General features: G+C 32.6%; 1 annotated feature.

The window, feature by feature from the left end:
* Nucleotides 2167-3366: an enhancer, noted in NCBI's record as "BRD4-independent group 4 enhancer chr9:105629405-105630604 (GRCh37/hg19 assembly coordinates)". NCBI's record gives its function as "activates an origin of replication core promoter dependent on BRD2, P300/CBP, MED14 and CDK7 cofactors, and independent of BRD4, by STARR-seq in HCT116 cells {active_cell/tissue: HCT116}" and the evidence as "EXISTENCE:reporter gene assay evidence [ECO:0000049][PMID:35650434]".

The raw sequence follows: 14835 nt of genomic DNA, 5'->3' as shown, positions 1-14835 counted from the left end.
TTCTGTGTATTCTTCACCAGCAATAGCAGTGATGTAACATTTGTTGGGACACTTCAGTGACTTTGATATCAGGATTATGCTCTTAAATTCTCCTTTTTCTTCAATAGAAGTATCATTTTCTGATCCATAGAACAAAATAATTTGAGCAAAGTAATTCAAGATATGATGAATAAAGTTATTTTCACGGACTTATCTCTTTTTAAACTAAGGCTTTGCCATCTGTTCTCTTTTCTTTACATGTTTAGGATGTATATAATTAACTGTGCAATCATGTCATAAAAGGAAGGATATGAGTGATTTCAGTGCATCCTGATATTTTTATACAGTACATCTGTTATGAAAAGATTTTCTCCTAAATACATGTTTCAGGTACAAATCAAAGGAAATCATTTTTTCTTTGATCAACTCTTTCTAAAATGAACAGAAAATGGGAGTAAATTTAAGAATTCAATTTTCACTGAAAACACACAGTAAGTTATCAGTAAGAATAGAGTTACTTACTGCCTATATTATCTACAGCACAAGCAATATAATGTACTGTATTTTATCTCCAGTTTTATCTATCTGCCAAAATTCAAAAAAATCTGCAAAACTTATTCTCCAACTTGATGTGCTGCTTCTGTCTGTAGCACTAATAACATGCTGTTTGTTCTGCTTGAAACCTCCTCATAGATTTGAACATTCTCTGTACAGCTCATCTTTCCAAACATGTTATACTTACTTTATATTTATCAAAGCATCACATTTATACTCTTTCATTGAAATGGCTTGATTATCCATTTCCACCAACCGAACATAAAATCTGTTAAGCTACAGATGTTATCTTTCTTGCATAATTTAGTATCCTACAAATGTAACTAATAGTGTATGCTCAAAAATATTTGATGAACCAGTTGAATTAATATATGGTGCCTTATTGTCACCAATCTTGAACAAAGAATATGTGACTAAAAATGAAAAGTAGTCACTGACTGATTATTATTGAAGATGCATCCATGAGGTTATATATAGCTTTATTAAATAGCTATCTACTTCTGTGGGTAAAATTGGAGCTATCCTTTGTGGATTTCAAAGTCACAGTGAAGAGAGCAACTTTAAGGAGGGAGTTTTAAAGTTGGAAAATTTGAAAACAAAATGTGTAGATGTTTGTGCGCATTTACTAAAATATAAAATCTGACATTACATTGTAGAAAAACTTCGAGAAAATTGTAGCAAATGAGCTTTGAAAGTACTAACATTGTGAGAGAGAAACCCTGTATTTAATAACAAAAGAAAAAATAAGTAAATTGGAGCATAGAACTAACTATTGCCTCTCTGTAAATTTTATGTGAGAATGCGACCTGAATCGTTGAAATCCAAATCATCAACTTTGCCCTGAAATGCAGTCAAGTGTACGTAATTTTCAAAATTTTACACCAAAAAAAATTTTTTTCAAAACTGATTGCAAAATAAGGATAATTTACAAATTTGACCATATTTGAAATCATAAAACAAATCTTTACCAATAAAAATGGATTAAAACTATATGTATTGGGTTCGTTGACTATGGTAAAATTCATCAAGAAATCAAAATCAAAATAAAAATAGAAAATTTCCATTGAATTTTCAAATTAAGCAATACATATCTAAATGCTACCATTTAGTTATACTTTAAATAAAATATAATATTAATTGCTGATATGAATATCTACACCATCAGGAAACAAAGTTATTCTTAAACAGAAAGTTGGAGTTTTAAATATTCAGTTGTAAAACCAAAAAACCTAAATATAAAGTATTTAAATATTTATATCAACATGTTGAATAATAAATTGTAAACTAAACGAAATTAAGAGGAAGAAAATCATAAATGAGCAGAAATTAACAATTAAATAAAAATGTACAATAGAGAAAACAAAGTCAAAAGTTGAATCCATAAAAAATTTACTAACATGATAAAACTAAGTTAAGAGTAATCAAGTATAAACTGTGACACAGATAACCAACGTCAGAAATAAACAAGTGATATTATTAAGGATTTTAGAAGCATTAAATCCTGAGGAAATATAAAATCTTTGTATTAATAAATTTAAAAATTTAGATAAAATTTAGATAAATTTCTTGACCAGCACAATTTATCAAAACTAATAAAATATAGAAAATTTGAGTTTATTAAATAAAATACATAACAATAAATCTTTATTAAAAAAATCCATGTTAAAATGGCTTCCCAAGTTAGAAATTTTAAATTCTAAGAATCATTTAAGGCAAAAATAATACCAATATTATACACATTCTTTCAGATAGTGCAAAGAATAAATATTTTACTACTAATTTCATAAGACACAAATGTAAGTAAAACAAAACTTGACACTACATTACAAAAAGGAAAATCAAGGGCCAAACTCTCTATTGGAATTAAATATAAAATTGCTAAACAGATTAGCAACTCAGAATCAGTAACCTATAAAAAGGGTAATACATCATGAATGTTTCAGAGATCTCCAAGAATACTATAATTTTTTAGAGATAATTTTATAACTCAAAAAACTGTTATGTTGACTTTTATGGTTTATTTCAGCAAAAAGACACAGATTTAAATCAACAAAGGAAAGAGGTGCATAGGGCAGAATCCAGGAGAGACTAGTCATAAGCTTCCAGTTTTCCTTTCATGGTGAAGTCATACAGAATGTGCTTAATCTTCCAGTGACAAAGTGTGACAACATATATGGATTATTGCCAATCAGGGAAGTTCCCTGAGCCATAGTGTTCAGGATTCCATCAAGTGTCAGTCACTTAGGCATGTAGTGCCCACATTACTGACTTTAATTACTCAGTGTCCAGTCTCACAACAGCAGATCAAACTGGTATTGTTTGGCCCATGGCCCCCACCATAAATCACACTGTTAGCACAACTATCTGGTATGACTCAAGGCCTCAGATAAGCAAAGACAATTTTAGCAGGCAGAATATTTCAGAAGCTAGTCTAGGGCCAGAACTTTCGTTGAAATGAAAGCATTTGAACACCTCATACCTCCTGAGTCAACCCTTCCTGCTCAGCCATCAAGTCGGGTGTGAAACACTTTCAATGTAATTTGTCATATTAACAGTGGAAAGAAGAAAAATTATATGGCAATTTCAATAGAAATAAAATAATTTGATAAAATTCAATTGTTAGCTACCAATAGAAGAAAATGTTCTATAAAAGTTATCTAATTAAATTTTAGAGCAAACATAGATAATGTTGGAATGATAAGAAAGCTAAAGGAGAAAATTTTATTCCTGTTCCTAGCCAGTGTAATTAGGCACAAAAAATAAATAAAAGGTATATGGATCAGAAAAGTAATAAATAGAACTATATTTTTAATATGGCATTAATTGCCCATGTAGAAAATATAAATGAATACATGAATAAATGTTATATTTAGTAAGTGTGGTAGAATAATTACTCTAGTGGTCTCAGTTTATTCCTTTGTTTAATCCTCTCCCTTTTCCCTATAACTTTGTAGTGCTCACCAGTTGTGAGTGAATTCATCCTGTGCCTGGCTTTGTCCAAGGGAATGTGGTGTGACATGATTAGACTTTGTGTCCCCACCCAAATCTCATCTTGAATTGTAATCCCCAAGTGTGACCGGAGAAAAATGATTGGATTATAGGGGCGGATTCCCCCTTGAAGTTCTCCTGATAGTGAGCGAATTCTCACAACATCTGATGGTTTTATAAATTATAGCATTTTCTCTGCTTTCACATACTATCTCTTGCCTGCCACCATGTAAGAGGTGCCTCTTCTCCTTTTGCCATGATTGTAAGTTTCCTGAGGCCTGCCTCCCCAGCCATGCAGAACTACGAGTCAATTAAACCTCTTTTCTTTATAAATTACCCAATTTGGGGTATGTCTTTATAGCAGTGTGAAAACAGACTAATTACATGGTGGAAATGATGAGACAGTTTCAAGTCTGGGCCTCAAGAGGCTTGTGTACTTCTGCATGAACATGTACTTGTATGTGTTCATGATTGTACTATATGTAAACTAGCCTGGAACATCCTTTTGCAAGATGTAAGACCACAGTGAGGAGAAGGACCAAGTCTTCTCAGTGAGGCATCAGACATGGAAGAGATCACAGCAAGATTAGCAAAGCCACACAGCTCATTGCAACTGATCAGTTATGCATAAATCTTACCAAGTCCAGCTGAGATCAACAGAGCAACCCAACTGACCCATAGACACATGAGCAAAAATAAGTGTTTATTATTGAATGAGACTGAGGTTTTGTGATTGTTACACATGCTGGTTATGACCTATTTATAAGTGAAACAAATCTTTGCTAGAATTTTGGTGTTGCCATTAAAAACAGTCTTAAAATGTATATTCAGCCATGTGTGTGATATTTTCAAATATCTCTTTGGGCACTCATTTTTGAAAAACTTATTTATAACTTTCTCACCTACTAATGTAACATAATTTTGTATATGAGCATGTAGCAGTTTTTCATAAAGAAATACACTGTTTTAAGGAATGATCTGTATCTTTATTTAGTAAGTATTTATTCATTGTTTAGCTGATTCCACCAGTATTTCCATAGTCTCATTTATGTGTCCAGATGATAACATATTTTATTGCAAAACACGTACATTTTGGAACTTGGTGACAGTTTCTTTGCAGCTTATAAAATGATGACATTTTCTAAATGCTCTGTGGGTCCATGATAAGAATATCAACCCTTTTGCAAGCCGAACACAATGTTTATTATTAATAAATCATTTTTGAGTCAATTATTCATATCCTCCTTATCCTTGTTTTATTTAGACCTATATGGCCTTATTTTATTTATGAAATTATATCTCTACCATTTTAAAAGATCCTTTTGTACTACATGAATTTGAGCAGTCTTAAGTTCTTTAGGTAATAGAGTGCAATTATTAAAAAAAAAAAAAAATCCTGTGGTGGATTCTTGCTGAAAATTGTTTGTCATATATTTATACTTGAAATAAAAATTCTATCAATAATATCATTTCTCAATATATTATGCAGCTTGTTCTTAATTTTCTTGAATATTATTTTTTGAATTTTACTTTGTCTAAAATTCATGTTGATATTTTTAATTTTTTTTCCTGTGAAGTTTGCTCATTGTTTTATCCTTACCTTGTATGTCATTTTGTTTTAGGTATTATTATCTAAATAACATATTGATGGGATTTGATTTTAGAGATACTTTAGATTATTTGTAAATTCATAGGGGGATTAATTTAAAGTCTTTCATACATGGTAGGACTCACTTCTATCAATATCTTATAGTTTTGTGTGGGTCTTATTTGTTATTTATGATGTATATCTTCTTCCTGATTTTTCACTAGGTATTTGGGAGAAATATTCTCTTTTATTTTCGTAAAGGCTATTTTCACATATTTAATTACTTTTCATGTAAGAAGTTTTAAGCGTCTATAACGTATATAAAATAATGTAATTAAATACTTAACCTAATTCACATATTTCCAAAATGCTAACAATTTAGCATGTCTGTTCCAGATGTTGTGGTTTTGAAGATATAAAACAATATAAATAAATTAATTTTATTTTGTCTTTATGAATTCATTCAACTATTTACAAAGTAGACTCATGAAAGCATAGATCACATAAACTGTATGTGAGGCATTTTTGGAAATCTGTAGCTTTCATCAGATGATGATGGATTTAAGTTTGTCAATTGTATATTCAATTCTAAACAAAGTATTTTGGAAAATTATATAGCATGGTTAAAAATATATTGTTAAATTGGTATTTGAAAGATCATTCATAATTTAACATTTAATAATAATTATGTCTCTGGGAGTGAAGTTTCCTTTTAACAAACATGTCTATCTTTTTCTCATTTCGATTTTTTATTTCCATAAGTGTTAAAAATATTTTAAAATAGAACCCATTCTTGATAACACGTAAAAATGTTGAAAAAAATCAAAATAATATTTTTAAGAAAAATAATGTTTAAGTAAAATAATGTTAAACTTTAGGTTCTCAGAAAATAATGTGCCCTTATCATGAGTAAGTCAACCATTTGACATAGAGATGTGCTATTTTAATACATGGTTTTTGAAACATATTTTATTTAAAATTATTTTCTATATGTAATTCATGGAAAAAGAGCATTTAAGAGACAAAGAGAAAAGGTATTTCTGGAAAAAAAAACTCATTGCATCAACCAGATATGAATCTTACATAGCATCTCCTTTTTATTGTGAGATAAATTCAAGAAAACATGGTTTATGTAGAAAAAAAAAGATACAAGGCAAGATGTTCAGACAGCTGAATATACAATAAAGGACATTGTTGAGAAAAAATTTCAAGATAGTGGATAAAATGCGAATAAAAATACTTTATGAAAATAACACACTACTGTGGGACTTAAAGTACAAAGAAATAAAAGGGATACATAAAGAAAACAAACTTTCAGAAGCATAATGAAAAATGAGAGAACAAGGTCCACGGGGAAATGATTCAGAAACCTGTTACTATATGTGGAACACAGAGGCACAGCAGAAGCACTTTGATAATTCTGTACCAGGACTTTTTAAATTTCTAATAACAGAATTACTTTGGGAATACAGGATTGGGCATAGTGTATCCCATAAGTGGCATAGGAGAATTAAGACTGTGCAATAGACACAGCTCCAGCAGGCACTTTTTGCTGTTGAGTGATAAACCCCACAGAGTGACAACATTTGAAATACTGTATCTGATTAAATCTGCACAACAGGTTTGACCCTCAGCAAGTTCCTTCTCCCATCTCGCCTCAGCACATCCATCTGTAAAAGGATGGACTTGAACTAGCAGATTTATAAAAAGCCTTTTCAGGTCTAACTTTCTGTTCCTTGTGATTCTTTAAAATTCCCTTTTTGTTTGTTCATTTCAATCTGTTTTCACATGTGAAAGTTTGGTGCTGGCTAAGCAGAGACAAGCAGCAGGAAATGAAATCAATAACCCCAAACTGGATGCTTCAAAGACGAGGTGCATCTTTTGTCTCTTTTCTAAGGGAAAATGCTTGCAAGGATAGAGAGAAAACATGTCAGAAGAGCAAGTTAGACCTCCTGAGAAACAGCAATAAGAAAGATAGAGGTGCTGGTTGAAGAATGGGGTATTGGAGAAAGAATTGAATTTGAGGGAAAGGGCTTAAAAACTATGAGGTTTATTGAGCTTTAAGGATTAAACTTAATAAATTCTGCAAAGATCTCTTATGTGCAATGTTGGCTTTAGTTTTTGTGCAATGTGTTAGTAGGTTAGTTCATCCTTTTTGCCTCCATCTCCTTCACTCACCTCTCTTCTCTTAATATATTCCCAGAATCCTAACTATGACCTTCCCATTGGTATGATGAGAAGTTTGTTTTGAATTAAAAAAGGAAGTTTACAGATAATATCAACCACAGCTGAAGGTCATATTTCTGTTTCTGTCATTTGCTATTATTTTTGTTCTCACTTCAATAAGATCTGTGTGCCTGCTTCAGTCTACATCCATTGTTCTCATTCTTTTCTGTTCCAATCTTTTCCTCTCTCTCTATGCTTATTCCTTTCTACTAAGACTCAAGGCAGAAAACGAAACTAATGTATTAGCACTGAAACAGACCTCAGATCTTCTTGTCCAAAGCATTGACATTTTACAGATGAAGACTAAAACAGAGTTCTGTCTTGAAAATATTCAAAAGTAACTCATCGAACTTCATTCAACTGGTAGTAACTGAGATATGACAGGAGAACATAATTTTGGCTAAATAGGACTGTTTGCTATTATAGAAAAAGGCAAAAACAATGTATGCTGTAGTTTTGATCTTCATGAATATTTTGCTGATTTGCATTTTTTGGAATTAAATAACTTAAAATTTTGTTACTTATAACACTTTGTTACTTTTAGGGAGTTTTAGTGTAGGATAATAAACTAAAATTGTCTTTACTCTGGTGTTTATAACCAGAAATTCATAAAATACAGTAGTGTGATTAATTTGGTATTGCAGGCAAATAAAACCAAACAAAATGAAACCCTCATAATCCCTAAGAAGTTGAATTCAAAGGCAGAGCCAAAGGATTAGATAACCACTTAAAACACTAAAGCAGTTTTTGCATGAAACAAAGACCGGACTATGATTGTGGAAGTGAAGGGGCATTTGGTTTCTTCCAGTGCTGTAGTGTCAGGTGTGAAATGCCCTTACATCATTTAGCATCTAGCCTACGTTAAAAAAAAAAAAAAAAGTGAATAGTTCTACTTGATGACAAGACTTTTTGCCACAGTAAATGAACAATTAAGGCATTTGCAAAGAAAAAGAGATTAAATGAAGAATTGGATATAGTTTCCACATGAACATTAAACTCACACTGGATAATAAAAGAAAATAAAGGTTAAGTAGTAAATTTTATTCTGGAATAACACACCAAAACCTCAAGCTAGAAAAAAGAAAACTAAATAAATGGGATTACATTGAACTAGAAAGCTTCTGAACAGCAAAGGAAACAATCAAAATGAAAAGGCAACCTATGAAGTGGAAAAATTACTTGCAAGTCATATATCTGATGAGGAGTTCATATCCAAAATTTATAAAGAACTCATATAATTCAATGGCAGAAAAATGAGTAATTTGATTTTTTAAAAAAGTAAAATAATACAAAGGGAAAAATACATGAGTTTACAAAAAAGCCAGTATGAGAGCAGACTATGGAAACAGTATCCTTAGAGGGAAATTATGTATTGAAAGGCTAGGGAGTAGGGTCATAGTTTGCATACATCATGGATGGTATGTACTATGTTTGCAATGAAACAAGTGCTCAAAAATCACAACAAAAGTGATGGGTGATAGAGAATTATAGGGGTGATTGTTTAAAGGACAAAACACGGATGAGAGTATAAAACAAAAATATTATAAGTTTTATTGTCATAAATGGAAACACACAAAAACAGAATTTCTGATTCTGACTATTATTTAGCCTAAATTCAATATAACAGTCCTTCTGCCTTGCAAATTCAATTCATTGATTTTCACTCGGAGCAGACCTCCTGTAATACCCTGATATTATTACACTTTAATGTCATATCAGAAGGGTATCTCTGAATTGCTATTTTTATCTTGTTGTGATAACTTTTGCTTAAATTTTCAGTGGCAATTATCTCATAGTTTTCTTTTATATGAATGCTTAGCTAGCTTTTAGCATAGTGCATGAATTTGCAGAAGAATGAGCTCTAGTACAATCCTTGCAAAGGGTTAAATTTTTATAGGATATTCTGGATTTAAAGATATTTACAGAAGCATTAGAATATTTAAAGGGCAGATATGAATCTTGTACAAAGTGTATGTATATATATATATATGTACATACACATATTTCACACAAATAAATAGATACATAGTTCATTAAGGAAAGGATATTAACTATTTGATTAACTTCTCATCCCTCAGCTACTGAGCATAACACCAGAAAGACAGTAGAAATGTATTAGCATTTACTAAATTAATTAATAAAATCAAATGAGGGAAATGTTATGTTTATAAAAAATAATACTTCTTATAATTTTCTGTCTCAGTGAGGTAAGGCTGTCAGGGTATGATATCCTTTGCACAGGAAAAACATTGAGTAATAAAACAGCCCTTGCTTTAAAGTTATTTAGAGTTTAAATAAAGAGACAGACATCTACTAAATTTGTTCAATAAAATGTAGTAAGTGGAAAATATAGACAAACACATTTTCAAGGGGAGCAGTTAGCAAAAGAATGTTAGAGTTCAAAATCTACTTCCATATGATAGACAACCATTGTGTGTAAAGTGAGATGAGTTTGCTAGAACCCATGGTTGACATTATGGTGTACTGACCTGGCACCCCTTCAGGAATAAAGAGTTTTCCTTCAGCTGCTGAAACTATTGCTAGAAGACCATTTAGGGATGGTCTTGGCTGATGAAAACAGTCTTATTCAAATCTACCCTTCTTTCCAGGGTCAGCCTACAACCAGTGACTGAGCAAGTAAGGTTATATAGCCCTACCACTATGTAGCCCTACCACCCTATCTCCACCTGGAGAAAATTTTAAAGGTCTATTCTAGCTTGAGAAATCCTCACAAGTCAGTTTCTGACTTGTTTAGAATTAAATCAAAGCTTAACTCCTCCCTTCTCAATAGTACTTTTGTTCATTTTATTTAAACAGGTATTGGTCCTTAAAGCGTCTGCTAATAATATCCTGCATTCTCATTTCAGCCTCAGAGTCTGCTTTCCAGAGAACTCAAATTCAACAGTTGATGCCAAGAGTAATTTGATGAAGCAGATCCTAAGAAGGGATTTTGAGCTTGGTAACCCACTACCTGGCTGGTAATTATGACCACATCCCAAGTTACAGATGGAGAACAGAAAGTCCCTGAAAAAAGGTAAAATTACAATTGTAAAATGTTCACAGTACACAACTATGATCGGATAATGTCAAAGAGAATAAATTAAATGGTGTGATGTATCAGGTACTCTATTAATCTGGAGGAAACTGTAACTATGAGGACAATGAAATACAGTTTGTATTGCTAATTAATGCTTTGAGCAATGATAACTATTAATCTGCAATTAAATACTAAATATGTAAGCCAGAGGGCCTCCTTAGTAGTCTATTGATAGGCTCAAATCTCCTTTAGCAGTAGAGCACGATGAAAACCACACCTTAAACTTACTTGTAAGAGTAACTGGGCTCTAAAGAACAACTTAATATCAAGAAAGGCAGATCCGCCATCCAAAAGTCAGGTACATTTCTTCCTGGTTCATAAGAATGGGATCTGACACTGGATTTAGAGACATTTGGACTTATTCACTTGGAAATTTAAAATCACCAAATTTAGTTAAGCCCCCTGAGCATGTAGAAGTAGCCTAATTTTCCCTGTTAAGGTTGAGTACTCTCCCAATGCTTGGAGAAAACGAAGAGACCTTTTCTCTGCAATAATGCATGTTGTCCCTCTCCAAATATGTCCCCATCTTCTTTCCTGGCCACTGGCTCAATTACTGCGATTAAGAAACTATATAATCCAGATGGGCATGAGATGGAACTATTAGTGTAAGAAATGGATTATATTCCAAAGGAACTGAAGGGCTTAGGTCCTTTGGAATGTAGTCCTGCCAACATATATCAGCAGATGTGTACATGAATCCAAATTCTGAGGATTTAGGACCAAGCAGGGGCAAAATATATAGTTCAATAAAAGAGACTTATCAATATAGGAACATTCTCCTGTAACACAGAATTTAACATCCTGCTAAAACCCCAAGAGATGGTGTGAACACACTGCAGTACAGCGATAATTCCTAGTTGCATAGAACAAGTGATGGCCTACACAAATGTATTAGATATGTCAGATCATGGAAGCTAGAAAAAAGTAGACTAAAGTCTCGAAGGGGTGGCATGTTCATTTGGATATACTACTTAAGGCTATGAAACCTACTAGATAACTATATTTCTCAGAACTATATGGAAGATACAACATTTGCTGTAAAAATTGTGCTTGTGAGAGGGGCACGTTGTTCGGTAAGAAATCATGAGGTGGTCCTCCTATGTAACACAGGAAATGATGGTAGGGGATGCTGTTAGAGAACTAGACTCACTCAGAGGAGTGGATAATTTACGATCCAAATCAATAAAAGAGGCATGAAATAATTAATTGTCTGAAGCCACATGGGCACAATTATTATAATGAATAATAAGTTTGAAGTGACAGCCAAGGAAGTCTTATTTTCAGATAATTATCCAGGTAGTTAATCAATTGTGTATTCCAGAGAGTTCAAACAGATTGCCTCCATGCAAAACAACCAAGAAGAATATTGCTCAATGTGTTCACTCTGACAAAGTCGAGGTGTATGATCAGGAGGCTGAGGCTAGTTTCCTTCACTTAATGCCATGATTTGGCCAGTTTCTGGACCTGAGACTGTTTTCCAACCTGTGACTCATTAGTTAAAATAAAGACAAAGACCCAAGAAAGAAGGATATTAGAACACAGTGTGCAAAGGCAAGTGAGGAAACTGAATCAAGGTAGCCTGATTTAACATGAAAGGTAAACATAAAGGGAAGGCGTGTGGATGTACAACCCTGAACCTCACAGAGCTCATCCTGCTAAAAAGCGGGGCTGAAGGACATGACATTTTGTAATTTCTATGGCAAAATCTTTTGTCCTTAAAAGGTAGTGTCTTCAGATAAAGAACAGAAACTGCAGGTGGGTCAAGCAGGAGGGAACATGTACATTTATTCATCTACTCACATATATCTTATAAGGGAGTAAAACAATCAAATTCATGCCCCCATAGGGCTTACATTACCACAGGAAGACAATAAAAAAGGTAAATAAAGCATACTGCAAGTGTATTAGAAATCAATAGATGTTAAAAGGAAAATGCAAATGGACAAGAAATATAAGAATTCCTGATGTGAGAGATTACAAATGAATATTTTAAACAGGAAAAAAATATCCCTGGGAAGGTGATATGTGATCAAATACTTAGAAGGTGTCAGGACATGAGCAATATGAAAAACTGGCAGAATAGAGTTCCAGACAGGGAGAACAGCAAGTGCAATGTCCCTGAAATGGAGAATGCATAGTGAATTCCAGGAATAACAAAATGGCAGTCTGTCCAGAGATGAGAGATGGAGAGGAGGAGAGAAAGAGGAGAGAGAGAATGGTAGGGTGATGCTGACAGCAGTAAGTGGGGGCCCAGATCACAGGAGGCTGATACAAGTCTTGGAAGGATTTTGTTTTTTACTTGGGTTGAGGTGGGAAACCCACTAATCTCTATTTCCTTATTCTTCCAGAGAACCTAAAATCATAGTAAGGTGTTTTTGTCCATGTTTCTTAATTTTATTCATGGCTCTATTCTGGGTGCTGCAGGAACTTGTGTATACTTCTTTCAGGATATTTTCATATAGTACTTTAATAGTTGTTTTTTTATTTATTCCAGATGATGGGGCTTTATGAGTATAGGAAATATACATTATTGTTGCTAATTATCACAGTGTCTAGAACAGCAAAATCTCTACCTTATTGCTGAATAAATGTCTGTTGGAAATAGATTATTCACATTGTCATATCACTGTCAAATATTAACGCTTTGGATCAAAATTACACAACAAAAATTGTTTGTTATGCTATATTTGGAAAGTATTTGAGTTAGATCTATATAAGCACATTGGTTGTTTAAAAAGACAAAGGAATATAGATTGGATTCAAAATAGAATACAATTTACTTAGATAGCTATCTTAACGTAGAGTTTGAGTCAAAGTATCTCCAATAACTATGAGCTTTCCTTCTCCTGTCTAGGATAACTCTCAACATATATCTTTCCGTATTTCTTATATAAGTTTTAATCAATTCCACAGTGAAAATCTCATTAGAAATGGCAACATGGGAAGTTTTATAGAAAAGCACACAACAAATGTATTAAAACAATTTGTATTCTCTGTAATCTATAGAACATGAAAAAAGGTAGAAAGTCATTCAACTTATTTTTTGAGGTGCGTATAATGCTGATTCCGGTCCTGGGTGAGGAAAAAAGAAATAAAACTACAGATAGAATTCAATAGATGCACAGTTACAAGGAAAATGCAATTAAAATATATCTGAAGGCATGCTAATAATTAATAAATCATTATCAAGCAAAATTTACTCAATAACTCAAGAATATTAAGATTCTGAGTATAATTCAATAGATTAGAATATTTGTTTTTCAAACTGGAGAACTTTGTCATGATTTTCGATGGGAGCATTCAATGGTGTAATATCAACAGTTGCACTTAGACTTAATACAAGATGGGAGAGAAAGAGGAGAGTCAAGAAGTATTACCCAGTTTTTGGTTTCAAAGCTGGAAATCTGGAGTTGCAATTAACTGAAATGGGGAAGACTAAAGAAGGACTGGTTATTTTTCTTTTGGGAGATCCCAGTTTTGAATAATCTAAATATCAGATGTTTTTAGATATCAAATGGAAGTGTCAAGTAGGCAGTTGGATATATGGTTATGAAATTTAAGAAAGATGTTCAGGCTGGAAATAGATATTTGGGAGACATTATCATAGAGATGTTCTTAAAGCCATGAAACTGAAATAGGATCACTAATTCGTGATTTAAAATAGGAACGAAATTTCAAGTACTGAATTTTGAATTACTCTAACATTTAGATGACAGTGTGGTGTGAGAAGGAAACAGAATGTGCAACCCAGAAAGTAAAGCCATAGGAATAAGAGAAATACAATGTAAGTGTGGAATCTTAGAATCCAAATGAAGAACTCTCTATATCTATATATCTCTATATAGGTGTTTAGATATATAGGCAGATATATACATACATACATATATACATTTATTCATACATAAGCATACACACACACACACACACACACAAACATAAACACATGCATGCACACACCCAGGCTGAAATTTTTATAGTGTCTTTTTCGTATACTAATAAGAAAAAGATAACAGTAAAGTAGGCATTCATTAGACAGACAATTCACTTGAGAAGTGCAAATATCTAATGCAGATGGAAAAAGATTCTTAACTTCACTACTTATCCCAGTAAGAAAATGTTTCAGACACAAATCTACTCTTCTGCAGTACTATGCTTATGATGCTGAGGCTAAATTCCATAAACTACATTCCTTGCGGTTTCTTGTCATGTTCTGCTAGCAAAAAGTATTAGAGAAAGATTAGAAACCCGGAGGAAGGGAGAAGGGAGTTTCTCTTTCTGTATGCCTGCTTTTTCTCTCCTATCACCTCAACAACATATTTTAACACATGAGTACATAACTCAAGTAAGTAGAATGTAGAGAAGAGCTGAGCCCAAGGGCAGAATCCTAAATTAGAAAATAATC

The sequence above is a fragment of the Homo sapiens genome, chromosome 9 (genome assembly GCF_000001405.40).
Source record: "Homo sapiens chromosome 9, GRCh38.p14 Primary Assembly".
Classification (NCBI taxonomy): Eukaryota; Metazoa; Chordata; class Mammalia; order Primates; family Hominidae; genus Homo; species Homo sapiens.
This window is presented reverse-complemented; position numbering and strand designations above follow the sequence as displayed.